Source organism: Homo sapiens, chromosome 4 (assembly GCF_000001405.40).
Source record: "Homo sapiens chromosome 4, GRCh38.p14 Primary Assembly".
NCBI lineage: Eukaryota > Metazoa > Chordata > Mammalia > Primates > Hominidae > Homo > Homo sapiens.
In genome coordinates this window covers 97,632,017-97,654,948 of record NC_000004.12, presented here as the reverse complement: position 1 = coordinate 97,654,948, position 22,932 = coordinate 97,632,017, and the positions used below count along the sequence as shown (strand labels likewise).

At 34.7% G+C, this 22,932-nt stretch overlaps 1 protein-coding gene across 7 annotated transcripts in view, besides 2 other annotated features; it reads left to right on the top strand.

Moving 5' to 3' along the window:
* Window positions 1–22,932, top strand: part of STPG2 (sperm tail PG-rich repeat containing 2) — a 702,228-nt gene that overhangs the window by 488,528 nt on the left and 190,768 nt on the right. The gene's annotated exons all lie outside the window — the stretch shown is intronic.
* Window positions 20,613–21,197: an enhancer, noted in NCBI's record as "NANOG-H3K27ac-H3K4me1 hESC enhancer chr4:98554903-98555487 (GRCh37/hg19 assembly coordinates)". NCBI's record gives its function as "activates a minimal SCP1, AML or CMV promoter by ChIP-STARR-seq in naive H9 embryonic stem cells {active_cell/tissue: H9 hESC(naive)}" and the evidence as "EXISTENCE:reporter gene assay evidence [ECO:0000049][PMID:30033119]".
* Window positions 21,198–21,782: an enhancer, noted in NCBI's record as "NANOG-H3K27ac-H3K4me1 hESC enhancer chr4:98554318-98554902 (GRCh37/hg19 assembly coordinates)". NCBI's record gives its function as "activates a minimal SCP1, AML or CMV promoter by ChIP-STARR-seq in primed H9 embryonic stem cells {active_cell/tissue: H9 hESC(primed)}" and the evidence as "EXISTENCE:reporter gene assay evidence [ECO:0000049][PMID:30033119]".

The window sequence follows — 22,932 nt, the reverse complement described above, 5'->3', positions numbered from 1 at the left end:
TGTTTGTTAAACTGTTCTGGTGACAATGATAAATCATGTATAGTTTTTCATGCCCAATATATAGATTATATCATTTTTAATCTGTACAGTATTTATGTATATTATATATACCACATCATTTGATTATTGTTATTTATGATTTTTTTTACTATTGTAAACAACATTAAGATGAACTTTATTTGACCATTTTTTCTGTTGTTGTCTAATGATACATTCAAGAGATTTTATTGACTGCCTGTTGTGTTCTGGCCGCTCTTCTCAGTTCTAGGTGGCAGTGAATAAAGTAGACAGAAGTCATTGCTCTTATGTGGCATATGTTCTAGTGAAGATAACTAATAATAAACAAAATAAATGAGTGAACAAACATGTGGTTAGTACATAGTGATGTGTAATGTGGAGAAAAGGATGCATGGAAGGGTAACAGAAGTGTCAAAGGGTAGAGTTGCAATTGTAAATTGTAATCAGGATGGTCAGGAAGTGGAATTGTCGGATTGATGCATATCAAACCTTGTGAAACACCTTGGCTTATTATTTCTCGGAAGTCTTTTACCAATTATATTTCCACTAATAATGTATGAGAGTGTATTTTTCTCACATCATAAAAAATCACTTTAAAAATATAATTTTAATATGCAAAGTCCAAATATTTTAAAATGTGTATTGCTTGGTGATTTATGATGTTCTTTATTTTTTTGTGACTGTTGAACATTTGTGCATTTTTAATATATATTACCAGTTCATGTCATCTGCTCCATGTAGCCAATGCTGTAGATACCTTCCATTTGTCTGGAGGTGTACCATTTTATTGAGTTCCAGCCAACTTTCAGCATCTCTTTCCTTAAAGATATTCTCCAAAGCTACTCTGCCTTCTCACATAGTAAAACACAAGCACCCTGGAATGAACATTCCATAGGGGCTGCTTTGCAGCAATGGCAGGCAGGAGTTGGTGATAAAAACCTGTCTTCCTTAACCCTTGCATTTATATCTCTGAGGCCAGAGTTCTACACCATTTCCCCAAGTTTCCCTGTGGGATCAAACTGTTACCACCTGCAGTGGTAGCCGATATGATAAAGCTCCCTTTATTAGCGGTCTTTCTTCCCTTCACTATCTCACTTTCCCTCCCCTGCCATTGCTTACAGCACCTCCCACATAAATTACTCACATGTGAATTCTTTTCTTAGGGTCATCTTCTGGACACTAAACACCATTCTCAGTCAACAGTCATTCTACTTGTCCTTAACTGCTACAAACTTTTTCCATTATCAATAACATAATTTTGTCAGTTTCATAGCTTAAAGATATTTTTCTAGTTTGTCCTTTTTCAAAAGTAGTGTTTTCTTGGAGGGAATTTTTGCATTTTTGTTAGATCCAATGTATGTAATTGTTTTCTTTATGTTTTCTGGCTTTAGAGTCATTTTTTGAAAGCTCCCATTTAAAACATAAAAAATAAATTCTTTTGATGCCTTTTAGCACTTTATTGTTTTGTTTTATTTTATTTTACTTTCCATGTGGAATTTTGGTAGAAGAAGAGAGACGTAGAGTTTCAAGGTTTTTTTTTTTCTTCCATATTGATAGCTATTTGTTCCACTACTGTTCATTGAGATGTTACATTATATAAAGTCAAAACTAGTCTTTGGATATGTTGTTAAATAACAAAATTAGACAAATAAGGAAAACTAATTTATCTTTCTTTTCTCATTCTGTGCTGCTACGTGGTTCCCTAATACCTGAGTCTACAATGCCTTTAATACTTGCAATACCTCAGTCCCTAATACATAATACCTGCCTATAGAAGTGAATCTGATAGTATCTGTCTATCTATCTATCTATCTACCTATCTATCTATCTATCTATCATCTATCAATCATCTATCTACCTAATCACTTTGCTAATTTAGGTTACCTTATTACTAAGGTCTCTACTTTTGTTTACATATTTAAATTTAACTCCTACTGTTGAAAAAATTTCTATCTCCTGCTAAAGGTATATGAGGAATCACTGCATTATATTTGGACAAAAACTCCTCTCTTAGTACCCAGTAACTCATACCAAATGATGATGATTTTAGTCTATCTAAGTTTAAGGGCAACCTTAGTAACATTAGTAAACTGAGTTGTTGTGTAATCTACTTAGCTATGGCTAATCTCATCTTTGAAAATTTTCTTTTCTTTAAAACTTTTCATGTTCTTATGAAACTTCACTTATTGTCTATACCATTCATTAAGGTGTTAATGATAGAAGAATTTCTGCTACTTTTTTATGTGTATGTGTATTACTTCTCCCATGACCTACTGGTATCCTTTAGGGCATAATTTCATTTTATTTCTGATTATATCCCCAGTGTACAGTGCTAAGAATGAGGTAGGAAAATTATAATTTTTAGGTAAAAGATGTAAATTTAAAAGATTTAAAATCATGTTTTATAAAATATCATACATCATAATCTAATTAATCTATGGGTATCAAATTGTAGTACTTTTTTTTGTAAGAACATATACTAGCAAGTTTCTCTTTATTTTTTGAATCTTGAGGAGAGCACTCAATGGTCAGAGACAAAAAGGACTGATTTTAAAGGTGAAATCTCTTAATATAAGGAAAACAAGGTGCTTGATATTGTCCATAGTTTCATTGAATTTTCATTTTTCCCTTAAAGTTGTAAAATAGCTCTAAAATAAAGTGTATTTGTAGGACATGTTAGAGGACATGCTAGCACTTTTAACTGTCTTTTCTATGCTTTGCTTTCTTCGTTACAATGTGTAAATAGAAATATTTTTTATAAACTCCATAAAACTTTTATCATAAGTGATGTTTCACGGCCTTTAGATAAAAGCTTTCCTTTAGGCTTATGCAAATTTTTGATACTAGTATTACTATCAGAGTATCTGTTTAAGATTCTACAGCTGTTTTTATTATATGTCAGGCAGTGCAGTTACATTAATAAGCATTACCAAAAATTTCACTCAAGATATTTTTAGCATAACTATATTCACAATATGTATTTTCATATGGCAAGAATAATTTTCCATGAATTTACTAGGAATTATTAAAGACACTTCAAATGTATTTTATATTATGCAACATCCAATGTTTTCAAAAGTGTGGAAAAATCTTTTAAATAATGTGAACTTGTTTTTCATTTCTTGTTCATTTACTTTTCATATTCAAACTTCTCTTTTTTAGTTCATACAACCTTCATCAGTTTGCTCTTAACTATTTCTCATCTTTTACTATCCTGTCAACCATCTCCTATCTTCTTTGCTTTTATCATGTTATCTGTAAAGTGATAAAAGAGGGGAAAATGTGCTTTTGTTAGTTGGAAAATAAAGAACTTGTAACAAAGTCTGAAATGTAAGTTTATTTGATCAAAGTGTGTTATTCTGATGTTTAAATTTTTATTTTCAAACATCTGCATCATTTAGGTATTTAAGTTCAATTCAAATTCTACCTTGATGATATTAATTTTTAATGTTCCAGATAGCTTAATTAACAATGTAAGTTGTAGCAAAATAATTTATTTTGAAATCTCATGATTTTAAGTTTGGAGCTATTTTACACTCAAGATTGATTTTTATAATAACAGTTTAACCTGTTGATACTCTGAGGCTGAGCATTTGTCATAATCTTTTTCAACTGTAAGTTTTCTTCATATTTTTAGATTTAGAATTTTTTTTTTCAAATAAAGACATACAAACAATAATGTCTGCTTTGTATTGGGAAATTATACTGGTCTAACAGGAAAACTGGTCTAACACAGGTAGTCAAGAAACTTATTGATATGCAGGGTTTAAAAATTGAAATGATTTTAAGGCCTCTGTATCTCTACATTTTTAGGAAAAAGTGATGGGAGTGTCTTGTGCCTTTTGTATAGTCTTTTGCTTATATTCAGCAAGAATGTTTTACTATACTCACTGAAGGCTAAGCTCTGATTTTTTTTTTTAATCTTGCCCAAATTCCTATCTAAGGGGCCTGGGGAGCCATGCCCTACAAAGCATAAATTCTCATCAGATGGGCTTTATTTAACCCTATATATCGTGACTTACTTTCCAGTTTGACTCTGACATAACATTACTTGACAAAGAAGAAAATCAAAATATTTTACCTGAAAACATGTTTCTTCTCCATATTTTGAAATGGCCCTACAAAGCCATCTTTCGTGGGAGAAAATACGCACCTGTAAAGAATCTCTATTAACATAGCTGGATCTTATTCTTCTAGGCCCTCCCAATCCTGAAGAGATTAACTGAGAGTTTAGTACCTTTTAAAGGTCTGAATAGGAAACATGTGTCATCTATTGTCTCTAAGGGCAGCCACTTTGAGACTTCAAAAAACTTTGGTCTCCACAATCTTTTATCTCAGCCTGAACATTTCCTTTTTATTGATCCCAGGTCTTTAGACAAACTCGACCAATTGTCAACTAGAGAATGTTTAAATTTACCTATACCCTGGAAGCTCCTGCTTCAAGTTGTCTTGCCTTTCTAGACCAAACCAATGTATTTCTTAAATGTATTTGATTGATGTCTCATGCCTCCCTAAAATGTATAAAACCAAGCCTCACCCTGACCACCTTGGGCAGGTCCATGGTCACTCATATTTGGCTCAGAATAAATCTCTTCAAATATTTTACAGAGTTTGACTCTTTTCATCGACATCTATTTGGTCTTCTAGGATAGAGATCCCCAACTCCTGGGCCACGGACTGGTACTGGTCTCCCTGTTAGGAGACAGGCTGCATAGCAGGAGGTATGTGGCAGGCAAGTGAGCAAAGCTTCATCTGTATTTACAGCCACTCCCCACTGCTTGCATTACTGCCTGAGTTCTGCCTCCTGTCAGATCAGCGGTTGTGTTAGATTCTTGTGGGAGCATGAACCCTATTGTGAACTGTGCATGTGAGGGATCTGGGTTGCGTGCTCCTTATGAGAATCTAATGCCTAATGATCTGTCACTGTCTCCCATCACTCCAACATGGGACTGTCTAGTTGTGGGAAAACAAGCTCAGGGCTCCCACTGATTCTACATTATGGTAAGTTGTATAATTATTTCATTATATATCACAATTTAATAATAATAGAATTAAAGTGGATAATAAATGTAATGTGCTCGAATCATCCTGAAACCATGCCGTCCCCCCTGGTCTGTGGAAAACTTGTCTTCCATGAAACCGGTCCCTGGTGCCAAGAAGGTTGGGGATCGCTGCTCTAGGAGTAGCACACAAATTTAGATACAATTGAACTGGTCTGTTACAACCATTTTCAATTTCAAATGGTTACCTTGGTTAACTTCCTATCTCAAGACAGTGATCTGAATGTCTGCTCCAAACTACATACTGAAACATCTTTTAAGCTTCTTCACTCCCCATTGGTGGCCCATCCTCATCTGCAGGCAAAGCCCAGCAAATCCCTCTGCTGTTTTCAGCTTCTACTGGCTAGAGATTAATCTTCCAACTTTGATAATATATCTCTTTTACATACCTCTAAGGCCATCAATAAGTTAAAAAATCTTCAAGACTATTTTTTTGCCCTAAAAACAGCCTGTGACAGCTAAGACTATTTCAAATTAAAGCCAAAACAAGAACTAAAGAGAAAGAAATGTTTCAGAAAGCAGAGTGTTAAAGAATACCTGTTTTTCCCATTAAATGTTAATATTATTATAGAAACAAAATAACTTTTTCTTGAAGCATTTAACCTGGACTCTGGGTCCACAGGTCTACAAGGTGAAATAATTACCTGACTTATAGAAAAATACTACACATAATTAAGATAATAAATGTTATTGCTCTGTAGTAACAAGAATGGTCGGGATGCCTGGCAGATCAGCAGGATATACATCAGAAAGCATGTTTTTCCTGCTCCTATTCTTTCCTCAAAGCATTTTCTGACAATTAGTGAGGAGTTCTGTAATTACATCTAGCTTTTAGTGAAAAAAGAAGTCAAGTACCATGTTCTGAATTATCATCAGACAATTAGGGTTTGGTTCTATGTATGCAGCAAGTTTATAACCTGGATGTGTAGGATGGAAAGGAAAACCAGAATTTAGCTAATTAAAGTAATGGGAGCTTGACCTGAGTATTAAGACTTGTCTTTTCCAGAGAAGGAGATGCTGACAGTATAATACATTGTATTAATAACATCACCAATAATAATACAACTACAATAACAAGGACTACTTATTTTTTATTTCTAGTTATGAGTTTACTAAGTTTGTATACATTTCCTTGATCTGTCAACAGCATATAAGGAAGACATTATTACCCTTAATTTTGAGAAAATGAGTCCCATTGTCTCATAACCTCAGAAAACATAAATTATGTGTCCATGATCACTAAAAATGGTAAGAACAAAAACTGGAATTTGATTTATGATGTATCTGACTTCAAAGCCTATGTTCATTTTAGTAGTAATAAATTTCATTGTTGCTGAGAGAGTGTTCAGCATACCTTAAGCATAAGATCGATTCAAGTAAACACAAACACTGATAGTAAGTGGTCCAAACCTTTCAGGAAGTTAAGACAGGAAAAGATTTCTTTCTATAGGTACATTTATTCGTTCACTTATTCAGCAAATATCTGTTGAGCACCTTCTATTTACCAAGCTATTTTAAAGCCAGGTAGATACCAGCATTACAATTCTTTGAGATCTGCATATTGCAGCAGATTACTAGCCCACGACTGAGGGATGGGAGAGTAGTGGAAAGCACATGCTTCATCTAGATAGGACTGATGTTTAGCCACCACACACTGGGATGGCTTTACCTGTTGTTGAAATATGTCTATATCTGTTGAAAAGTGCCATTGTTGCAAGCTCACTTTACTCCAGGGCCTTTGCCACCCAGCCTTCCCCTAGGATTACTTCAGACCACGCCAGCAACTAAAGGGTTAATGCCTATCTTAAGTGGGGAGACTTTAGGACCCTGCTTTTTGCCTAAGCTATTATAAGTGGTCAGTCAGTGCCATTGCTGACCAAACTCTCAGATTAGCTCTTAGGTAACAACATGGGATCTCCCTCCTAGTAATGCCCAAGGGTCTTGCCTATCCCATGTTCCAGGGACCTCAGAGTGAACACCATTTAGACCCACACTGGCCCCTGCCAGCCTGCTGGACTACCAGATGGCTCACTGTAGCTCTTTGACTGGCCCATTCACACCTGTTTCCCTCTGCCCAGAACAGACCTAAATACCAAAAGGAAAGGTGGTATTCCTACAGACAGTGCTAGCATCTTGGCGGACAAATGCTTAGTGTCATTTTGGCCCCATGAGGTTGTGGCCACCCACCACTGCTTGGCCCGTCCCTTACCATCCTCAAATTGTGCTTGAGTAGACTGTAGCCCCTTTTGGGACCTTGACTCCAAGAAAGCAGATAGACAGATAGAGAATGGAGCAAACTGGAAGATAGGGGATAATGGGACAGCCTCAGGCAAAGACCAGGGACTGCTGAATCTCCTGGCAGGGTGGGGATTCTAGCAAAGGAGGAGGAAGCAGAGGATGGAGGTAGGCTGCAGTAGTAATATCAGGCCAGGAGGTGTTAGAAGTGCAAATTCTTGCTTTCAGCCTTCTCAGTTAAATATCATCTCTATTTAATTCACTACATGAAAGCAAGTCACAGGCATTAATAGCAGTGATATTAACAATAAATCCAGGATCAGACACAATTCTAAGACATTTGAGTCTTGCTCATTCAACAGGAAAGGAAACTGAAGCATTTGAGTGCTTATTTATAACTTAAATGGCAGAGCCAGAACTTTAACTCAAGCAGCCTGGCAACATGCCCATGCTCCCAACAAGCATTTATGCTACTTCTCATCTGACCAGAATGATTCATTTAATCCAATTAAATGTGAGATTCAGATTTATTATTGTTATGTTTTAGTGGGTGATAGAAAATTGAATATATAAGGAACTCAGACTTGGACTAGAAAATATTTACATGCCATTGCTATTTAGTTGAAGCTGAAAGAAGAGTCAGCACTATGAACAATGTTATTGATCTGAAGAGAAATTCTCTGCTTATCGAGACGCCTAATGACTATCCAGATGGCACCTAATAACTGTCAATTTAATGGTAGAAATTTAATGTCAGAAAAGTTTGGTGCAGTTCTCTATGTCAAATCATAGACTAGACAGAGGCATTACTTAGTGATGGCCACGTCAAACAAAATATTACACCAAATGTTTATAAAAATTAACAAATGATTTTGAAATTATTATAACTTACACTATAATGTATATCACTTACTAAGCAGTTGAAAACATTTTCTGTTAATTTACAGAATATAAATCAATAAACTTTATTAATAAACAGTATATGTATATATTGGTTCACATAAAGCATCAAAGCTTTTGGAATCTGTGAGTGCTTAGGGTGGGGAGTTAGAAAATGCTGATATGAATTATATGTATTGATGCATATGGGAATTTCCCAAAGGTCCTAATGTTCCTGGTTTCCATTATAGATCTATGTTCAGTTAACCTCAATGTATAATTCACACTTTATATAAAAGACTAATTTTTCAAAGTAATAGGATATATTACATTATTGATTTCCTTCATGAAATGAAAGAAGATATACTAAAAAAGAAAAATATTAAGTGGCCGCTTTGCAACCGTAATAAGACTGATAATGAGAAGATAACATGCAACTACATTGATATACAAATGGTGGATAGAGGACTAGATTTTCTTATAATAAATCCTACTTTCCTGCATATAGCCTTGCACTGTGTGCAAATAAAATTTGTTCCTAAGCAAAACTAAAAATTGCTATTTGTCATAGAACTTCAAGGACTCTCACAAATCTTCAAAACCACATATTTTAATTTTTGAAAGCCAAGTTAGGGTCTACTTAAACCAGCATAGAGCTTGTGATGGATTGCACATGGGAAGACTTAGAGCCCATGGTCTTCTCTAGTTGGAAAGAATCAGATCATTGAGCCCAATATTTATTTATAAAGATGAAGCAACTGAGTGAGAGTGATCTCTGGGCTCAAGGAGTGTGTTTGTGTCAGAGTTTGGACTGGAATTTATGTATAATGGAGATAACTTTTTGTAGTATACTGTGTTGTCTTTTCACTAAGTTAAATATAGGTGAGAAAACTAAACTATTTACAGTACTAATTTTTATCTCAGTGAAGTTTTAGAGGGAATCTATAAACAACCTATGCAGTTAGAACTAATTAAGTAAAACTGTAACTAATTTAACTACTGCAGAAGCCATGAAGTTGGCCAGAAAGGATTTGAAAGTGTCCTGAGAAGGATGTCTTCCACATTGCAGTTTGGTGGTAGGACATACCATCTGGCTAATTTCTCAGAGTCTGGAATGAAAGCAACAAAGGGTTGCCAACCCCCCATGATCATAAATGAGAATCTCTGACAATGCCTATTAATTATGTCATAAAATTCACTAAACAAGCCACATTCATATGCCACATGGCAAAGGTTAAAAGGCAGCTAGTGAAGTCTAAGATTCTGGATACAGTATTTGCAACTCTGATAGCCGCAGTCTCTTAGAATATCAATGGCAAAATAAAAAGCCTTCTTGATACTATTTTATGAACTCTATCTTTAAAATTCCAGCTTCACGTCCTTTATCTGAGGAACACCATAGAGCTTAACTAATCACATTGCTGTACTGCTGAATTCTTTTTTTTTTTTTTCAGCAAGATACTTTCTGCTCACCCTAGTCAGCAGCTGCCATGTAGCAGAGGCTTTTTGCCTTGTGAGTGGGGATTTTTTTTTTTAAACTGTAGCTATAAAAAACAATTGGCCATGCTCAGTTCTCCATCTGTCTTTTATGTCCCTCTGGATTACATAAAAAGGCAACAGTTTATTTATAACCTCCAAGTTATACTCTAAATAATATTTGATTAAGGCTAGTTTTTAAAGTTATCAGAGAAATTTCATAATTGTACGTTTAGAATATGAGAAAAAGCACATCTCAGCTTCCTTTAGCTTTCCCAGTACTGCTGAGCCATGCAATTTGCTTGTGCACTTTATCCAATTTTGAGCATGACATTGTGAAGGAAAAAATAACAGCATCCAAAATCTAGTGTTGTCACTGACAAAAGCTTTAATATCTCTTAAATCTGTGTTTGAGAAGAGGGAAGCAAGGTAACTTTACCTATCTTGACCAAAAGTTTAAAGTAAGGAGGCTTTAGAAAACTAGAATACTAAAGGATATGTTACTGGTCTGTTAATTATGCTCTGGTAAGTCACTTTGGTTGTTCTTAAAATGAAAGGATATTGAACATCATTGCACCTTTCCCAAGTGAGATCTGCCTGATTGAAAAATAGATCATGTTATGTTTCGGGTTCCCAAACTCCTGAAAATCAAATGTCCCCTAGTAGTTCCCATGAGTGGTTAGAGCCATGCGATGTTTGCTTGCCTTCTGATTCTTTCCATTTGGTATTAAAAGGTAGGACACGTCAAGTCATTGATCAAATAATAAAACATTCCTCCAGCACAACTTCCAGACAGTTTGTCACAAAAAATGATCCATTTGTTGAGTGTTCATCTGTTGCTTTTAAGGTTCTTATTTGTTTGGCTGGGGACTAACAAAAGGTAATTCATTTGTCAAAAGCAGTGACATGGGAGAGACAGAAGACTTATTTTCTCCATGAGTTCTTGTAACAATTTGTGTTTGGTTTTCTTTGAAAGGGAAAGAAACTAATGTATCCTGATGCTGTATGTGTTTGAGATGCTTTACAAACATTTTTTTTCATTTTATTGTCAAAAGAAATATGTCACTCAGGTACTTCTCTTAAATAATATATAAGCATGCCCATTTTAAAAGGAAAGGTTTTCCTAAAGCTCTATTTGTTTTTCATAGGTTTGTCAAAAGATCAAAGGTTACATCAAATAAGCATCACCCCCTCTTTAAATTTCATTCTCTTAAGTCACTGGACAGGTGGCAGGTGAACTTTGCCATATCAATTCAAGTCTAGACTTTCAGAATTTAAAATACTTGAGATTAGAAAGATTGAAAATCATGTTTAAAAGACATTCATCTCCTTCTTTGAGGTAAATTTACTATAACTTATTTCCTGGTGATTCCCAGTTTGTAAGGCCCAGTTTGTAGGCTATAGGTATTGTTGGAAAAGTAACTATGCCCAAAAATAAGGTGAATTTTACCAAAATTCTCTTTATAATAAAAGAATCTCAAATTCTCTTATAATATCAGACACTCGTAATATAAAGTCCCTTTTGGAAATGACACAATAAGACAACTTCAATCACTGCTAGATATGTATGCTTATAGAAGTAAACTGAAAGAGTTCTTTAAACAAAGAAGGAAATTAGTTTAAAGTCAATTTAATATTAATAAGTATGTCTGGATATATAGCCTCACAACTGTATATTTAATGTTGTTGCAAATAAGCCCTTTAAAGTAACTTACAGAGCTAAAGAGTTAAATGGTTGTATTTTGGAGATTACTTATATATGCAGAATAAATGAAATAAAACTATTGTTCTATGATGCCATAAGAGTATCAAAATCTGTTTCAAAAATGCTGTACTTAAACTACTTAGGTGGAAATTAAGATGATATGCATCAGGAAACTGCTATATGACTAAAATGTGACTGTACAAAGAGGAAGTTATTAATGCCTAAATGCATGTATAGAGTTTGTTTCATTGAATGTGAGAGCAGCACCAAAGAATTTCTCCATAATAATTTAAATAGCCTGTTAGAAAATGGAGATAATTTTGGCAATATCTTTAAAAGGTTGTTCACTGAAATTGAACAACCTCTTTTTAAAAATTTTTCCATTAAAATTTCTACTAGATTAAAAGCTCCATGAGGTTACATTCTAGTATTTCTGGCATATAATATGCATTCAGTAAATGTCTGTTATATAATGAATAAGGAGTTATTTTTAGCAGTTCCATGAAAAAATATATAATTATTCCAAGGAAAAATACATAATCACATGATTGATTGATTCATTCATTCATCAGATATTTATTAGTATTCTGGTCTAGGCATTTTTCAAAGTCGTGGTTAATATTGCTTTACTACTGAAAAGTTCCAGAGCTCTTCAGCTCTTTTGAATTTATTTGGCAATTGTTCTCTAAGGCTTAATTTTCTTTTTTTGTTTTGATTATTTTTTTCTAAAATTTCAGTTTACATATTCCATTGCAGTCTAACATATAAACGTGTAAGAAAAGTTAATATATAACATGAATTTTCTTATATTTTATTGGTTGTGTGATATTTTCAATAAGTTCAGCAATTCAAAAATGGAGAATTAACGTTGTGCCTACGTGAATTGTTTATAACTAAAATCAGTAAAATAATTATGTTACATTCAGTAAAACAACTTAAAATTTTACCATGATCTTTATGAAAACAAGTTATATGCTGCTTTGATTTTTCTAGAAAATGATTTAACATTAGATAGAATGTGCATTAAATATTTTCACTTCCTTGGTCCTGAGAAGTTGATATAATATGTAAATATTTCTATCAGATTTGTTATAAATAATATTTATAGATCAAAATTCATGGCAAAGTACATTTTATATTTTTTACCAAATGTTATTTATCATAAATGCTATCAATAGTACTTCCTAAACCTTAAATATGTCAATGTTTATCACAGAATATGTGATACTAAAAATATTAGTATATTTTCAGTTTATAAAGCATATTCATTTCATAAAGCATGTTTAATGGCATATACTACATATAAAATGTATGAATTATGAGGTTTATTGATGTTAATGTAGACAAAATAATATATTACATGGGAGCATTTTATTTTTATTTTTATATTTATCTGCAGTTTCCATCTTCCTATAAAACACTCTACAAATAGGTCTAATGTATTTTCTTTGGATCTGTTTATGTTGCATAGTAAAAGTCACAAGCAAGTCACTTTCATTTGTCATTATTGCCAATACAATAATTTGGAGAGAAAACAACTTTATGATTTATTGGTTAGAGCATAATAAGTTAAATGCCAAATAAACCATGGAGAATAAAGAATAGGTGTTATTATTTTATGCATGTAATCATGCTTTGATCAAAAACAACTATGCTTACAACTTTCTTATGTCATATTTGCTCCAGGTATTGATGACAGTGAACTATCAAATAAAGAGATAAGGGAAGAGATATTTAGTAGGCATTATTTCATCTTTTAGCAAACACTTCTTAGGAGAAAAATAAGAAATAAAGCAATATAAAATATTGTTTAAAAGACATCAATGAATTTCCTTTTTTATTATAGTACTATATATTTGTATGTATGTTCAATTTTTTTTTCATTTTTTTCCATTTGGACATACAAAAGTTGAAAGAAGTGAGTTTTAGGTTTTAAAAAAATCTGTGTATAACTGCTCTGCTGTCATGGTCTTTGATAAAGTGAAATAATAAAAGTTATAATGAATTCAAAAATTAGCTAAAATTATATTCTATATCTTTGATATTGGTTACAACATGTTCTGCTTCAGACACAATAGAAATAACTAAAATAGAACTGATAGATATGAATGTTCATATATGTCTGTGTGGGTATGTTTATATATATGCATGAGTATACATAAGTGCTATGATGTATCATTAATGTTGAAGGATTGATTCATATGATTAATGCATATTATAAGTAGAATTATTTTATTTTTAATTATTTTCTGATAATATAAATATGGCCTATTTGTGTATGTTGATTTTAAATTTTACAGTCTAACTAAATTAACTTCTTAGTTCTAGCAGTTACATTGTATATTCCTTAGGTTTTTTACATTGATAATAATGTGTGCTAAAAGAGAAGTTTTGCCTCTTGCTTTAAATATTGTGTAGCTTTTATTTCTTTTATCTTTCTTTGTTGTCCTGGCTATCATGTCTAGCACAATATCAAATAGAAAGGGTGAGAGCTTTGCCTTTCCCCCAATTTTAGAGAGAAAGATGCTAATATTTTACTTTATTTATTGAAAGTAGGTTTCACATAGACATTATATATTCATTATAAGATTACTTCTTTTATAAAACTGTATTCTTTTGTTCCTCATAATTCTTTATCTTGCAGGATATGTAGTCTATGTTTATGCCTAACCTTGTTTTTAACCTATTTTCTTGACTGTGTCTCTTTTTTCCCACCCATCCTTTGACTATATCTGTATCTAAATTTTACTATTTATTCTCTGTTTTTTTGACTTAAACATGTGTTTTGAAACGTATCTAAATCTTTAATTTTCAATATGAAAGTTTAACAATTTTATATGTGTTGTATTTAATATATTATAAATTTTTTGTTTATATTTACTTCTTCATGTTCTTTTACCTTTTGAATATTTTTGTGTTTGTTTGGCTCTTTTATTTTCTAAGTTAGAGTTTTGAATGCCGTATATCCTGTTTTTCAATCTACTAGTTTTAACATTAACTATTTGAACATGAAAACACTTGAATCCATATTTGTCAAATTATCAATATCAATATGAAATCATATGATTTATCTCCCTTATTAAAGGTTAAAAATTATTGACTCATTTTAAATATTTATTAAGTAATTCCTTATTGTAGAGAATGTTCACTTTTCTGTACCAATTTTTGGCTTGTAAATTAATTAGTCCTTTAAAGTTAGGTTATTTTCAAACTTAAAAAAATATATATGTAATATAGCATCACTTCTTTCAACAATGCATTTTGACTTTGGCATTCAGTTTTGCAATTACAGACTTATTTATGATTTCATTTTAAGTAATTTAAATGCTGATCATTGTTCCTTTGAAACCACAGTTTCAACTCTAGTTCTTCTCTTGGAAGTGTGTTCATTTACTCAGTGAAGTTATTTGGCCAATAAACTTTCTGGGCACATTCTATATAAACATGCCTTTCTACTGGTGTCACATGTCAATGGCAAGCTCATCTTTAGATTTCCTACTAAGCCCATAGTAAACCCTAAATAACCATTTTTTATTTTTACATTATATTTATCTCTTGTACTATATAATTAACATGTTAACAAAAAATGAACCTATCTCATACGGTTGCTACAAAATGTTAAATAAGTTACTATATGTGAATATTAGAGCTCCTGGCGTAGAATAAAGGCTAAATAGTTATTAACTTCCATTATTATTGTTATCATTACTATTATTTATTGTTATTGTTAGTTTTATTTTTATTATTATCATCATCATATTCCCAAATGGTTCCTTTTGGGAACCAATAATTGATAGGGATTTAAAGAATATAGATTATGTGTATAATCACTAAACGCATGTTTTCCCAAATTCGCTGTCACAGAAGAAACCCTTAAAAATTCTGGAAAAACTTTGGAATAATTTGCAATGTTCAATATTATATATTTATAAATGTTTGTATTCCTTTCAACCGTAATATGTAGCTATGCTTTGTTTAAACCATTTTAATTCATTAAATATCAAAGAATTCTACAATTTTGTCTTAAGACTTTTGAAGTTCTTACGTGAATCAGTTTTTTTTTTTTAATTTATTTTTTTAAATTATACTTTAAGTTTTAGGGTACATGTGCACATTGTGCAGGTTAGTTACATACGTATACATGTGCCATGCTGGTGTGCTGCACCCACTAACTCGTCACCTAGCATTAGGTATATCTCCCAATGCCATCCCTCCCCCCTCCACCCACCCCACAACAGTCCCCAGAGTGTGATGTTCCCCTTCCTGTGTCCATGTGATCTCATTGTTCAATTCCCACCTATGAGTGAGAATATGCGGTGTTCGGGTTTTGTTCTTGCGATAGTTTACTGAGAATGATGATTTCCAATTTCATCCATGTCCCTACAAAGGACATGAACTCATCATTTTTTATGGCTGCATAGTATTCCATGGTGTATATGTGCCACATTTTCTTAAGCCAGTCTATCATTGTTGGACATTTGGGTTGGTTCCAAGTCTTTGCTATTGTGAATAATGCCGCAATAAACATACGTGTGCGTGTGTCTTTATAGCAGCATGATTTATAGTCCTTTGGGTATATACCCAGTAATGGGATGGCCGGGTCAAATGGTATTTCTAGTTCTAGATCCCTGAGGAATCGCCACACTGACTTCCACAATGGTTGAACTAGTTTACAGTCCCACCAACAGTGTAAAAGTGTTCCTATTTCTCCACATCCTCTCCAGCACCTGTTGTTTCCTGACTTTTTAATGATTGCCATTCTAACTGGTGTGAGATGGTATCTCATTGTGGTTTTGATTTGCATTTCCCTGATGGCCAGTGATGGTGAGCATTTTTTCATGTGTTTTTTGGCTGCATAAATGTCTTCTTTTGAGAAGTGTCTGTTCATGTCCTTCGCCCACTTTTTGATGGGGTTGTTTGTTTTTTTCTTGTAAATTTGTTTGAGTTCATTGTAGATTCTGGATATTAGCCCTTTGTCAGATGAGTAGGTTGCAAAAATTTTCTCCCATTTTGTAGGTTGCCTGTTCACTCTGATGGTAGTTTCTTTTGCTGCGCAGAAGCTCTTTAGTTTAATGAGATCCCATTTGTCAATTTTGTCTTTTGTTGCCATAGCTTTTGGTGTTTTAGACATGAAGTCCTTGCCCATGCCTATGTCCTGAATGGTAATGCCTAGGTTTTCTTCTAGAGTTTTTATGGTTTTAGGTCTAATGTTTAAGTCTTTAATCCATCTTGAATTGATTTTTGTATAAGGTGTAAGGAAGGGATCCAGTTTCAGCTTTCTACATATGGCTAGCCAGTTTTCCCAGTACCATTTATTAAATAGGGAATCCTTTCCCCATTGCTTGTTTTTGTCAGGTTTGTCAAAGATCAGATAGTTGTAGATATGCAGTGTTATTTCTGAGGGCTCTGTTCTGTTCCATTGATCTATATCTCTGTTTTGGTACCAGTACCATGCTGTTTTGGTTACTGTAGCCTTGTAGTATAGTTTGAAGTCAGGTAGTGTGATGGCTTCAGCTTTGTTCTTTTGGCTTAGGATTGACTTGGCGATGCGGGCTCTTTTTTGGTTCCATATGAACTTTAAAGTAGTTTTTTCCAATTCTGTGAAGAAAGTCATTGGTAGCTTGATGGGGATGGCATTGAATCTGTAAATTACCTTGGGCAGTATGGCCATTTTCACGATATTGATTCTTCCTACCCATGAGCATGGAATATTCTTCCATTTGTTTGTATCCTCTTCTATTTCCTTGAGCAGCAGTTTGTAGTTCTCCTTGAAGAGGTCCTTCACATCCCTTGTAAGTTGGATTCCTAGGTATTTTATTCTCTTTGAAGCAATTGTGAATGGGAGTTCACTCATGATTTGGCTCTCTGTTTGTTTGTTGTTGGTGTATAGGAATGCTTGTGATTTTTGCACATTGATTTTGTATCCTGAGACTTTGCTGAAGTTGCTTATCAGCTTAAGGAGATTTTGGGCTGAGACGATGGAGTTTTCTAGATATACAATCATGTCATCAGCAAACAGGGACAATTTGACTTCCTCTTTTCCTAATTGAATACCCTTTATTTCCTTCTCCTGCCTAATTGCCCTGGCCAGAACTTCCAACACTATGTTGAATAGGAGTTGTGAGAGAGGGCATCCCTGTCTTGTGCCAGTTTTCAAAGGGAATGCTTCCAGTTTTTGCCCATTCAGTATGATATTGGCTGTGGGTTTGTCATAGATAGCTCTTATTATTTTGAAATATGTCCCATCAATACTTAATTTACTGAGAGTTTTTAGCATGAAGCATTGTTGAATTTTGTCAAAGGCCTTTTCTGCATCTATTGAGATAATCATGTGGTTTTTGTCTTTGGCTCTGTTTATATGCTGGATTACATTTATTGATTTGCATATATTGAACCAGCCTTGCATCCCAGGGATGAAGCCCACTCGATCATGGTGGATAAGCTTTTTGATGTGCTGCTGGATTCGGTTTGCCAGTATTTTATTGAGGATTTTTGCATCAATGTTCATCAAGGATATTGTTCTAAAATTCTCTTTTTTGGTTTTGTCTCTGCCCGGCTTTGGTATCAGGATGATGCTGGCCTCATAAAATGAGTTAGGGAGGATTCCCTCTTTTTCTATTGATTGGAATAGGTTCAGAAGGAATGGTACCGGTTCCTCCTTATACCTCTGGTAGAATTCGGCTGTGAATCCATCTGGTCCTGGACTCTTTTTGGTTGGTAAGCTATTGATTATTGCCACAATTTCAGATCCTGTTATTGGTCTATTCAGAGATTCAACTTCTTCCTGGTTTAGTCTTGGGAGAGTGTATGTATCAAGGAATTTATCCATTTCTTCTAGATTTTCTAGTTTATTTTCGTAGAGGTGTTTGTAGTTTTCTCTGATGGTAGTTTGTATTTCTGTGGGATTGGTGGTAATATCCCCTTTATCATTTTTTATTGCATCTATTTGATTCTTCTCTCTTTTTTTCTTTATTAGTCTTGCTAGCAGTCTATCAATTTTGTTGATCCTTTCAAAAAACCAGCTCCTGGATTCATTAATTTTTTGAAGGGTTTTTTGTGTCTCTATTTCCTTCAGTTCTGCTCGGATTTTAGTTATTTCTTGCCTTCTGCTAGCTTTTGAATGTGTTTGCTCTTGCTTTTCTAGTTCTTTTAATTGTGATGTTAGGGTGTCAATTTTGGATCTTTCCTGCTTTCTCTTGTGGGCATTTAATGCTATAAATTTCCCTCTACACACTGCTTTGAATGTGTCCCAGAGATTCTGGTATGTTGTATCTTTGTTCTCGTTGGTTTCAAAGAACATCTTTATTTCTGCCTTCATTTCGTTATGTACCCAGTAGTCATTCAGGAGCAGGTTGTTCAGTTTCCATGTAGTTGAGCGGTTTTGAGTGAGATTCTTAATCCTGAGTTCTAGTTTGATTGCACTGTGGTCTGAGAGATAGTTTGTTATAATGTCTGTTCTTTTACATTTGCTGAGGAGAGCTTTACTTCCAAGTATGTGGTCAATTTTGGAATAGGTGTGATGTGGTGCTGAAAAAAATGTATATTCTGTTGATTTGGGGTGGAGAGTTCTGTAGATGTCTATTAGGTCCACTTGGTGCAGAGCTGAGTTCAATTCCTGGGTGTCCTTGTTGACTTTCTGTCTCGTTGATCTGTCTAATGTTGACAGTGGGGTGTTAAAGTCTCCCATTGTTAATGTGTGGGAGTCTAAGTCTCTTTGTCGGTCACTCAGGACTTGCCGTATGAATCTGGGTGCTCCTGTATTGGGTGCATATATATTTAGGATAGTTAGCTCTTCTTGTTGAATTGATCCCTTTACCATTATGTAATGGCCTTCTTTGTCTCTTTCGATCTTTGTTGGTTTAAAGTCTGTTTTATCAGAGACTATGATTGCAACCCCTGCCTTTTTTTGTTTTCCATTTGCTTCGTAGATCTTCCTCCATCCCTTTATTTTGAGCCTATATGTGTCTCTGCACGTGAGACGGGTTTCCTGAATACAGCACACTGATGGGTCTTGACTCTTTATCCAATTTGCCAGTCTGTGTCTTTTAATTGGAGCATTTAGTCCATTTACATTTAAAGTTAATAGGGTTATGTGTGAATTTGATCCTGTCATTATGATGTTAGCTGGTTATTTTGCTCGTTAGTTGATGCAGTTTCTTCCTAGTCTCAATGGTCTTTACATTTTGGCATGATTTTGCAGCAGCTAGTACCAGTTGTTCCTTTCCATGTTTAGCGCTTCCTTCAGGAGCTCTTTTAGGGCAGGCCTAGTGGTGACAAAATCTCTCAGCCTTTGCTTCTCTGTAAAGTATTTTATTTCTCCTTCACTTATGAAGCTTAGTTTGGCTGGATATGAAATTCTGGGTTGAAAATTCTTTTCTTTAAGAATGTTGAATATTGGTCCCCACTCTCTTCTGGCTTGTAGGGTTTCTGCTGAGAGATCCGCTGTTAGTCTGATGGGCTTCCCTTTGAGGGTAACCCGACCTTTCTCTCTGGCTGCCCTTAACATTTTTTCCTTCATTTCAACTTTGGTGAATCTGACAATTATGTGTCTTGGAGTTGCTCTTCTGGAGGAGTATCTTTGTGGCGTTCTCTGTATTTCCTGAATCTGAACATTGGCCTGCCTTGGTAGATTGGGGAAATTCTCCTGGATAATATCCTGCAGAGTGTTTTCCAACTTGGTTCCATTCTCCCCATCACTTTCAGGTACACCAATCAGACGTAGATTTGGTCTTTTCACATAGTCCCATATTTCTTGGAGGCTTTGCTCATTTCTTTTTATTCTTTTTTCTCTAAACTTTCCTTCTCACTTCATTTCATTCATTTCATCTTCCATTGCTGATACCCTTTCTTCCAGTTGATTGCATCGGCTCCTGAGGCTTCTGCATTCTTCACCTAGTTCTCGAGCCTTGGTTTTCAGCTCCATCAGCTCCTTTAAGCACTTCTCTGTATTGGTTATTCTAGTTATACATTCTTCTAAATTTTTTTCAAAGTTTTCAACTTCTTTGCCTTTGGTTTGAATGTCCTCCCGTAGCTCAGAGTAATTTGATCGTCTGAAGCCTTCTTCTCTCAGCTCGTCAAAGTCATTCTCTGTCCAGCTTTGTTCTGTTGCAGGTGAGGAGCTGCCTTCCTTTGGAGGAGGAGAGGAGCTCTGATTTTTAGTTTCCAGTTTTTCTGTTCTGTTTTTTCCCCATCTTTGTGGTTTTATCTACTTTTGGTCTTTGATGATGGTGATGTACAGATGGGTTTTTGGTGTGGATGTCCTTTCTGTTTGTTAGTTTTCCTTCTAACAGACAGGACCCTCAGCTGCAGGTCTGTTGGAGTACCCTGAAGTGTGAGGTGTCAGTGTGCCCCTGCTGGAGGGTGCCTCCCAGTTAGGGTGCTCGGGGGTCAGGGGTCAGGGACCCACTTGAGGAGGCAGTCTGCCCGTTCTCAGATCTCCAGCTGTGTACTGGGAGAACCCCTGCTCTCTTCAAAGCTGTCAGACAGGGACATTTAAGTCTGCAGAGGTTACTGCGGTCTTTTTGTTTGTCTGTGCCCTGCCCCCAGAGGTGGAGCCTAGAGAGGCACGCAGGCCTCCTTGAGCTGTGGTGGGCTCCACCCAGTTCGAGCTTCCTGGCTGCTTTGTTTACCTAAGCAAGCCTGGGCAATGGTGGGCGCCCCTCCCCCAGCCTGGCTGCTGCCTTGCAGTTTGATCTCAGACTGCTGTGCTAGCAATCAGCGAGACTCCGTGGGGTAGGACCCTCAGAGCCAGGTGCGGGGTATAATCTCGTGGTGCGCCGTTTTTTAAGCCCGTCGGAAAAGCGCAGTATTCGGGTGGGAGTGACCCGATTTTCCAGGTGCTGTCCGTCACCCCTTTCTTTGATTAGGAAAGGAACTCCCTGACCCCTTGCGCTTCCCGAGTGAGGCAATGCCTCGCCCTGCTTCGGCTCGCGCACGGTGCGCGCACCCACTGACCTGCGCCCACTGTCTGGCACTCCCTAGTGAGATGAACCCGGTACCTCAGATGGAAATGCAGAAATCACCCGTCTTCTGCGTCGCTCAGGCTGGGAGCTGTAGACTGGAGCTGTTCCTTTTCGGCCATCTTGGCGCCTCCCTCAGGTGAATCAGTTTTATTTTAAATATCTTTTTATGTTTCATTTATAAACAAATGAAATTTGAATTAAATTTCATTACTTTATTGAGTATGTTTTCATTTTTCCCTGGAATTGCCACATTAATATAGGGACATATAATTTTCTCTTGGCAGCTTGTTTGTAGCAAACAATATTCCAACTTTTTAATTTGTATATTTAATTAAGTCAATAAAAACTGAAAAATTAATAAAACGTTAAAGTTTTGTATTTGACACTTAGAAGCATCAAAGACTGTCATCCAATGGCAAGTCCTTCTATAAGTTTTAGATCAATTCAATTATTATATTATTATAAGAATGTAAATGGCAGAGAAACTAAAACAACTGATGTGTGTATACATATATACACATGTACATATACACATGCATGCATATTGTAACATGGTTGATAATATTTTCTTATATATTTGGGAGAAATATCTATCTCTGTCTATCTATTGATCTACCTACCTACCTACCTACCTGCCATCTATCTACCATCTTTCCATCCCCCTTCTAAATATAATTAGAACAGTGCATGGCATATAATAAGCATCCAATTGAATTGTTGTTGAATGAATAATTGATAATGTCTGAGGTCATGTTAATAAGCTTCTAATTATAGGATATAAGCTTACTTACCTTATTCTGATCACTTCAACATTTTAGCACCATATTATTGATGGAGAAATTAGTTCTATTTCCACTTCCCTTCCTGGTCTTGGTCACATTGAAAATACATTCTGTATCTCACTGCAGTCTCATATTGTCATTCTTTAGCATGGTGGCTGGTACAGTATTTTTTGTTGGCTCATATTAATTATGAATGTATAAAGCATATTGATATCTGTGAGTCAATAAATGTGTTACATTCTTTTTGAAAACTGCATTTGGTGTATATGTACATTACATTTCAGAGCAAGAACTCAGGATTATAAAAAAAGGTATTTTATTGAAACATGTAAGGCATAAAGTCATTATTAGGTATTAGAATTTCTTCTCACATTATGAGTAAATAGTGATACTAATTGATGATTTTATTAGATTTTTTATTATTATGAACATTAACAGACATTTAGTCTTTATTGCAGCTTGATAGTTTTTCCTTGTAAAACATAGCTGTGATCTATTTTACTTTTCCCATGCCAGTGGGAAGCTCAGAAATAAAAAAAAAAAAAACCAATAAGCTTGTTAAAATTTGTGTGAAATTTTAGTAAACCTAAAAACAAAAAAATCTATTATTACTTGTATATTTTAAGTTTGATAGTGATTTTAAGGATGAAATGGAGTTTATTGCCATAAAAAGGATAACTTACTTTTAACTTTAACCTTTTTTGAAGGTATCAATAAGGAAAGAGAGATTTTATTCTTCCTAAATGCCTAGATTAAGGAGTATTTTAATGTTTATCTCTTTTGAATATAGACTAAATCTATGTGATATACTTTAT